This window comes from Homo sapiens, chromosome 5 (assembly GCF_000001405.40).
Source record: "Homo sapiens chromosome 5, GRCh38.p14 Primary Assembly".
NCBI lineage: Eukaryota > Metazoa > Chordata > Mammalia > Primates > Hominidae > Homo > Homo sapiens.
Window position 1 is genome coordinate 92,976,255 of NC_000005.10, and position 9,136 is coordinate 92,985,390.

At 34.4% G+C, this 9,136-nt stretch overlaps 2 annotated features.

The window, feature by feature from the left end:
• Positions 879–2,684: an enhancer, noted in NCBI's record as "VISTA enhancer hs1024". NCBI's record gives its function as "enhancer in: forebrain[8/9]" and the evidence as "EXISTENCE:transgenic organism evidence [ECO:0001131][PMID:17130149]".
• Positions 2,820–4,122: an enhancer, noted in NCBI's record as "VISTA enhancer hs1049". NCBI's record gives its function as "enhancer in: other[7/8]" and the evidence as "EXISTENCE:transgenic organism evidence [ECO:0001131][PMID:17130149]".

Genomic DNA, 9,136 nt, shown 5'->3' on the forward strand with positions numbered 1-9,136 from the left:
CTAGATTTGCTCCTTTATCAAAAGTAATGCCTTAGAAATGAAGTCATCTAGGGATATTCTAGAACTGAGCAATTTATTCAACATATTTAGAAGACATATGGATCTGAGGTGAAAACTGATATTTGTTGAAAGCAATGAAAAATTCTTATACCCAACTGTAATATTCTTTCTCATTAATTCATTAATTCTTCTTCAGAAAAAAACACAAATCTCTTCATATGATTTTTAGATGTAGCTTTACATAAAAATACCTAAATGCTTTGAATCTAAGAAATTTTAAATATTTGTTCAATAAAACAAAATCCTTTTACTATGCTTATCTATCTTGTGAACTAACTCCATGTAATTCAAAATTCAAGTTCAATTAATACAACTTTATCATTAACATGATTATAATTATTATTCATATTAAATTAAATGCATATTAATCTAAATTATAGCATGAAACCAAAAAATAAGATTAGTCTGGCCATGGGTAGCTAAAGATTCCTGTATTACAATAGGAATATAAAAGATACCTATCTTTTATATTGCAATACAGGAATCTTTTATTATATTCAAGAATTATCTTTTATATTAAATAGAAATTAATAAAATAACTTTAGAAAAATTATTTTTCTCTTCTAAACAAATAATTGTGCTTATAATGCAATGTCAAGCATAAGTCTTATTTCTTGTAATGTGTAATTATTAATTGTGAACTGAATATTAAAAGAAGTTTAATATTTATTAGAGAGATATAAGTACCATAAAAGGGAATTCAATTTAAATGTGTACTCACAAACATAAGAAAAAAGAAGCAATTTTTCCCTTAAAATGCTTTAAAAACTATTACAAGAATTAAGAGAAACAGAATGCATTTTGATAAATCCATTTAATGTAAATAAGAAATTTGGCCCTATTTAAACTTTATGAATAAGTAGATTATTTTGCTACTAGCCATAATTTTAATTTGAGGTTCACCATATCTTGTATACCTTAAGACATAGTAACAATACTTACATCAAATACTTAGACATTTTTACTGCTATTTTACTTAGGGAAAGATGTGTTTGTTGGTTGCTTATTTAGATCTTTGACAAATTCTCCACATCAAACAAGGTCAAGCCACAAATAATGCCCAAGATCAACTAAAAATCTAGTAAAGATCAATGACTTGAAATGTGGATTTGAAAGGATGTGGGTCAATGTAAAAGCTGCAAGAATTTTTTTCTTCATTATTTTAAAACAAATGCACATCTTCTGCGGGTAAAACAGCCCAAAGCAGTGTCTTTTAAACCACCTATACCAAAAGATAAAACACCTTGGAAACAACAAGCCTTTGACATCTGTGACACAGGAGACATGCAGAAGTCATTAAGGGTATCCCGAGGGGGTTCCAACAGTTGCTTCACTTTAGGGTGGATGTGAGAAGGCTTAAAATTAAATTACTTTAAAATAAAGTTAGAGCAGTAAGCAATTTCCTGCTTTCTACTCAGAAGGGTTTCCCGTGAGAAAAGAAAGTGGGCAAAAAGCTCAGACAGACAGACAAACATATTTACCCCTAGGTGGAAGGTACAAATTAAATTAGCCTGCTACAAAAGGGAGATGTTTTCTCCTTCTGTTCAGATGTCATGGTAGTGAGGAAACATAGTCTGGGGCCAAGAAAAATGGCACAAATGCATTCATCTGAGCTACCATTCATCCTGATCCAAGGTCTAAACAGAACACATAAAAGAACGGCACTGTTGAAGGACTTCCTCTCCCTAGTTACCAAGTTGAGACTTGCAAAGGCACATGGGAGCAGGGGGTGGGGATCTTTCCAGAATGTTTCAATGTTGATGGAGTGTCAGAGGATGTTATGGAGTTAATGACTGAATCTGAAATCACATCAGTATAAGTTGATTCCATATTTCATAGAAAGAGCTGTATTTTATGGTGCACAGTATGGTGTGTTTAAAGGTACATTGTGAACTTTCTTTCCCTCTGTAGCTGGAAACCAATATAGGCACTTCCAAAGAGTCAAGTATCTATTATAGTGCCTCATTAATATGCATGTTTTTGGCACTCAGTTTGGTTCAGCTGGTATGCTTTCCAGTATCTCATTCTTTATTTATATGAGACTGGGAGGTGTGACCTATGGAGCCAGTTGGCTGTCATGAATTGGAATATTCATTAAGCCTCATGAATTATGCATTAGCCTGCTTATAATACTGAGATCCACATTTGATCTAGCCAGAACTCTCTGCTTTCCATTCAACGAAACGATCCACATTTTGGTCAAACTGTACATGTGTTCCATACACTGCAGAAGGACTGCCTGTATATTTGCCACCAAAAAGGCTTGGAGATTTTGCACCTCACATCTGACTAAGTGGGTTTCATATTTTTCGCTTGTTTGAAGGGCATTGCAGACATGGTTCTCCTCTGTAAAACGAGGTTAGAGTAGCATTCTTCCCTAGCCTGATTACTATTTCCATCCATTACTGCCCTTGCCTATAAAAGTCACCAATGACTGGTAAGCAGCCTGGATTACAAAAGATATGTAGCTATCTCCTGGCAATCCACACACAAAAGCAAAGCCAAATATAAAAAACATGGAAAGTGCTTTTAAGAATTTAGTTTCTCTTATCTAAAACAAGGAAACCCTTTTACTGATAACCTTATCATTTGTGATACTTTTTTATGGATAGGTATATCCTGGCTACATAAAATCTAATTTGTAGATCTTGTTGATGTTACAAGATTTTATCAAAATTCAATGACAGTATTTATTAGGCATTAAATATTTTAATTGTTAAATAATATGGATCAATATTAAATTCATGGCTTGCTTAAATCCACACCTTTTACAATAGAAAGGAAAAAACAGCTGAAAAAAAATCAACTGGTAAAGATTAGTAAAATCTGTAATACACATCAGTAAACTGAAACTCTGAAAGCATTTCACCTTTATTCATTCTTTGTACAAGCTACTCAAGTTAAAATTGTCCCCCCCAAAATATCAATTCTTAAGTAAAAATATTATTTTATATAGCATCGATCTCAAATATTTGATCACCACCCACTTTAAAAAGTTTCTATTCTTTCTTTCTCAATGTAGACCTGCTTTGGAGGGAACTCCTATTCAGGTAAATAATTACTATAATGTAAAGCCTAAAACATAATTTGAATTTAGCCCATTCCATCTGCTATATTCTGGAAGACTGGACTAAGGAATCTATAACCAGCTCTACAAAAGGTCATGGGTGAGTCCTGGGTAAAATGGCATTGTTTACAGATTTCTTAGTGAAGAGATTAGCTGTCATTTATTTTCACATACCTAACTGAGAAGCTTTAGTGGTTCCCAGCAAGAGTGTGTTCTCTTCTCTTTCTTAGCCTGTCACATCCTTGTCAGTTTCAATAAAATTACTTACCTGAATTATGCAAATGAGGTTTTGTTATGTCCAGCTCCCATCATTGTTCATCTCCACTACAGCTGAAAATTCTAGCAGACCCCTTGCTTACACTGTCTGATTCCAGGACTCCTTAGGTCAAGACCTTTCAACCTCAGAGCTTGACTTATGCCACAACCATTTGACAAATCGCCCAGACCCTCACAAAAGCTGGTTGAGCTCCAGAGTGGCTGCTCTCTCTATACACCACTGTTTCTCTGTTTTGACATTTCCTTCTCACTTTTCCTCTCAGTAATTAGACAAAGGGAAAAAAAGACATTTGTGTTTAAAGAATGCTTTCATTTAGGACTGTGATAAATGGCTCCCCTTTCCAAGAAGCTGCAATCCCACTACAGGACAGAAGGTTCCTTCACAAGGGGTTTGGACAGCAAAGGCCTTCCACCAAAGTTTTCCTGGACTTCAGCTTTGCCTCTAAAAAGCCTGCAGAGAGTTTCCACTGATCTCTTCTGTGTTTTCAGTAAAACTGAAAAATGGAAAAATGTAGCATGAACTTCCATATTAAAAGTATCATGGTTGTAAATGCAAGGACATTGACATTATGATTTAAGTATTTCTAGGAATGTTTGGTGTTGGAAAACACATTTGGAACAAAAAGGCACTGTGCCTTTTTTTTTTTTAAGTAATCTTAGTGCCTTAAAAAAGTCTCTGTTCAAGTTCTAAATTCCAGATTATAACATACCCCACTCTCCAGTATGTTTCATATATCATCTTGAAAAAGAATGAATTGACAGAACTATCAGAGATCTGACGTTTTAGTGGCCCATAACAAATCTGAAATATTTGTGGGGAAGTTTAATCATGTTTCTTTTAAAATAAAATACAACTCTATCGCGCTGCAGAAAGGAAAGTTGGCATTGTAATCAAGAAAAAAATTTTAATAGAGAGTAATGTATGTCAGCCAGATTTTCTTAAGGTGCTTTCAGAGTAATGAGTTAATGTTTATTGTTCCATTAGGGAAAAAAGATTGTGAAACATGTAAAACAATTGAATCTGCATGTGACTCAACTGTTGAGAGTTTCAGTGAGGAATTAGTGTGTTACTGTTCATGCTATAGTTAATCTGTTGCCTTTGCTCATGGTAGTGCATTAATCAGAACATCACCAAATGACGTTCCCAAACCAGGCAAATCACCTTTAATCTGATATCACAGTTTAAGTAATTAACCAACAAGTTTACCTTGGAAGTTTAAGGCATGATATATGACTTTATTCACAAATAAAGAGGATATTCACTATCCTCTTCCTTGTGGTTAGTTATGGGAGCTAAAACAATATAAATGAATAAGCATATCAAAGTTTCTATCCCCCAAATCAAAACAAAGCCAAACACAGAATCAATTTTATTTGGACTTTTATTAAAATCTTTGTGAGGGAACAAAGTCTTTAGACGTTTCCCATGTAAAAGGCACTAGACCAAGCAGCCTGATATGCTTGAAATAATGTATCCCCAGGCCTAAAGGCCAGGATGCATTCCATTTCAGAGACCTTTTCCACCATGCAGGCATGCATTTAGTGAGAAAAGGAAACCTTGGGAACTCATTTGGTAAACCTTTAACTGATACAGTATATTCTTAGTTTATGGTTTCCATTCATTCTGTGGATTAAACAAAACAGAGGTGAACCTGCTGATGCATAACTGAAAATGAATGCCAGTAAAACCCTACACCTCTGTAGCTCCATGTAAAAGGGAGCTCATTGTTGTTGACAAATATGAAGTAATATTAGACATATAAATTCTCATTATGGCACAAAAACCTTATAACTTTAGGTGTAAATATGTCCCTAACTGACATTGTGTTTATGTATTAGTGTATCACTCTGAAATGAGACTTATCTTCTTGATGACAGTTTGTGTGCTCCAATATCAGTACTCTCAAGTTTTTAAAAGTTTATTCTATCTCTTTATAATGACCCATTATGTGCTTCTGTTTGCATTTTGTCAACAAAAATTTGTCTATTTTTAAAAATATGTTTATTTTTAAAACAAAAAGATCTACTTTATCTGGTGGATCAAAATCAAAAGATGATTTTCTCAATTTCAAAGAATGAGAATCTGGTTTAATTATTTACTTAATATGATATCCTTCAAAACATTGCATTGATTATTTAAAAACATCACAATCAAAATTTACTTACTCAACTCACTAACATGCCATTCCATTAAAGGCATATTTCTTAAGCACATCATGAATAGTCAGTAAATGTTTGTTTAAAAGATTACTTTTAACTAAACACCTATTATGTGTTACCCTTTCCTTCTCCTAGGAAGCTCATAGTCTAAAAATGAAAATAAGACTAATATATAAAATAAACATAAAGCGAAGAAGAAAACTCAAATGCTATATGAGCAATATTACAATGATGGTTACCAGGGAGGTTGGGGGGTAAGAAATGTACCTATCATTGACTATAAAAAAATGTGCTTCTTAAACTCTATTCATTAATCAGAAAAAAAGTCTAGTTTTTCTAGATTAGATGCCCTTCAGAGTTTTAGTTGGATTTTTCACAATTCTGTGTATTTGATGGAATTTTTGCCAAAGTCAGAAATTTTCTTATCTAGTTTCCCTCATTAATCAGTCAGAAAGTAATCAAAGAAAGTATTTAATCTGTGGCTGTTTCCGTTGCTTATTTTCTTATCCTTTTAAGCAGGTCTTCAAGTCCAGTAGTATGTTGTTGTTCAAAAGGGAATTCTTCCTGGAGTTGCCATAGATGAGTAGGACATGACCTCTCTGTGAAGATATGGTCTGAAATAAGACACTGCGTTTGATTTTGGAACTTAGTTATGATAATGGTTTCCAATTTCCATTCAAGAGTAGAATATAGTGCAACTTGATTCGTCAAAATGACAGCAGCAATTTCATACCTCTTCTTCACCCTATAGTCTATTTTAGAATACTTAAATAAGAAATTCTTATTGTACTCTTGAAATATATAGAAATAATATTGCAAAGGCAATAGCATGCCTTTCTTCCTCACTTTCCAAACAGAACCTGCTCCTCCTTCTGTACCCCATCTCAGTGCATGTCACTATGATATCCCCCATCACTGAAATCACAGAAACCTGTGACTCACCTAAACTCCTATACACATTCTTTTCCCACTTCCCACACATATGCAATATGTGCATCTTAATATCTTATATATTTGTCCCTTATTTCACCCCCTTGTTACTGTCTTAATTCAGACCCTCTTGAATTCTCCACAGAGACCTTGGCCCCTGAACCTGCCTGTCCTCCCTTTGATAGGCAGTCTTCAATAAAAAATGCAGTGTCAAGCATAGTGCAGCTCAGTAACCTTCAATGGCTCCCACATAGATTTCAGGATAAAATTCAAATGCCTTGGTGGAGCCCACCACTCTGCCACAGATAGTACTCTTCTTCACACTGTACCTAGTGATTTTCATGCTTCTTTGTTGATCCTTCATGCTTCCATATGGTGTTTCCCAAACCAAAATGTTTCTCTTCCCCTCTTCCTCAACCTTCATTCTACCTACCTAAGCTCTACTCTTGATTCCATCAACTTCTTCCAGAACCCTTCCCTGACCTGGAGTCTAACTTATATGCCTTCTTGCTCTCTTAGCACCCTACCCATTCATTTATCCTGGTACTTGTCTATTTATAACACTAGACCTTGAACTCTTCTAGGGTAGAAAACTTGTTCCAGTTTGTGTCTCACCTAGAATTTATTTAGCTGATTTTTACCTATCAAATGAAAAGACTTCCAGAGCAAAGAGAGTAAGTCTTATGGAGGTTCTAATGAGTAAATATTCTGTTTCCAACAAGGGCAAAGAAAAAAAAGTAAGAAAGAAATTACAACCATAGAAATAATGATGATGGTATAAGTCCAACCTATATCACTGAGGCCATGCATTACAAATATAGAAAAAAATAAATTAATAGATACAGACTTCTAATTGCAGCTCCAGTATATAAGGACCATAAAAGTCATCACTCTTTCCATACAACAGGAAAAAATATGGCCAATCTGAAAATCCATCACTTTCCTTGGACTTCTCAGACAACCAAGGTTGTAGGGAAAATCATCATCCTGATATCTGAAGAACAATATCCTGAGATACTGCAACTGAGATGTACTTAAGCAGAGCAGAAGCTACTGGAGCCATAAACTAATATGAATTCTTAAAGGATAATTTTCACGAATTAAATTTGGATTGCCGGAGAGTAGTCAACTTTTGGGAACACTTTGATGGGATTTACTTCCAAGAACCCCATCAGTGTCTCACTACAAAGATCTGAAAGTTATACTCATAGCTCTGGCACCAGGAGGAAGAGTAATCTTTATGAAATATTCTTAGAGCCTTCTTTGTAATAAAGAACTTGTCTGGGACTTATCCCAATCAGAGGCAGGGCATTCATTCCACCTCAGGCCCTATAGCCTCCCTGTTTTATCTAAGAAAGAAAACATTTCAAACAGTTAGGGCTTCAAGAAAATAGATTGGAAACTCCAGTCAGGGAAGAGAACAGAGGGGAGAGGATGGGGGAGTTAGAGCACTAGAGAAACACTTCTGAAGGCCACATCCTCAAGACAAAGGCCCACTGACACATCAAGCCATTATCAGAAGACAACAGAATTTTTCACCTTCCCCACATTTTACCACTATACCAATAGGGATTTGATATGATAACAATGCATTACAACTGAAAGACCTGCAAGATACACACTTTCTCTGAGGAAGAGTATTAGGAAAGCCCAAAATCAAGGCAGGAGAAAAAATAAATAAATAAATAACAATAGAGAAATTTGAACCTCTGGTACCTCTGGTAACAGCACATATTAAACACAGTCAAACTTCTGGTCAGATTTTCTGAATCCTCACAATGAAAGCCTATTGATCTCAGTTGCTCAGTTGCAAAACAACATGTCCAACTTTCAACAAAAAATTACAAATCACACCAAAAATCAAGAAAAAACCCAATCTTAAGAGAGAATGCAATCATCAGAACCAAACTGGGAAATGACACAGATATTGGAATGATCACACAAGGAATTTAAAATAATTATAATTAATTTGTTAAGAACCTTAGCAGGAAAAATTGACAGCATGCAAAAATAGGTGGTTTATCTCAGTGGAGAGATGGAAATTCTAAGGAAGAATCAAAACGGAATGCTAGAAATTTAAAACACAGTAATAGATGTGAAGCATGCCCTCAATTGACTCACTTTTGATGGGATGCTGTCAAGTAAAGATCCGTGAACTTGAAGATAGGTCAATAAAAACTCAAACTGAAATATAAAGAGAAAAATTATGATAAAAAATCTAAGAACTGTGGAATAATTTCAAAAAGCACAACAAATACATAATTGGAATACTTCCGAAGGAGAAGAAAGAGAAAACAAAGTAAGAGAAATATTTGAAGTAAAATTGCCAAGATTAATGATAGAGCTTAAACTACATATTAAAACAAAACAATAATAAAAAACTTAGGCATATTATATTTAAACTACAGAAAATGGAAGACAGAGAAAGTCTTAAAAGAAGCCAGAGAAAAAGACAACTTACCTACAAAGGAACAAAGATAAGAATTACAAATTTTTAACTAGAAACCATAGAAGCAAGAAGAGAGTGAAGTGACATATTTTAAAGAGTTAAAAGAAAAAAAATCACCAATCTAGAATTCTAGACTCAGTGAAATTATTCTTCAAAACTGAACCAGGAGGCCGGGCGCGGTAGCTCATGCCTGT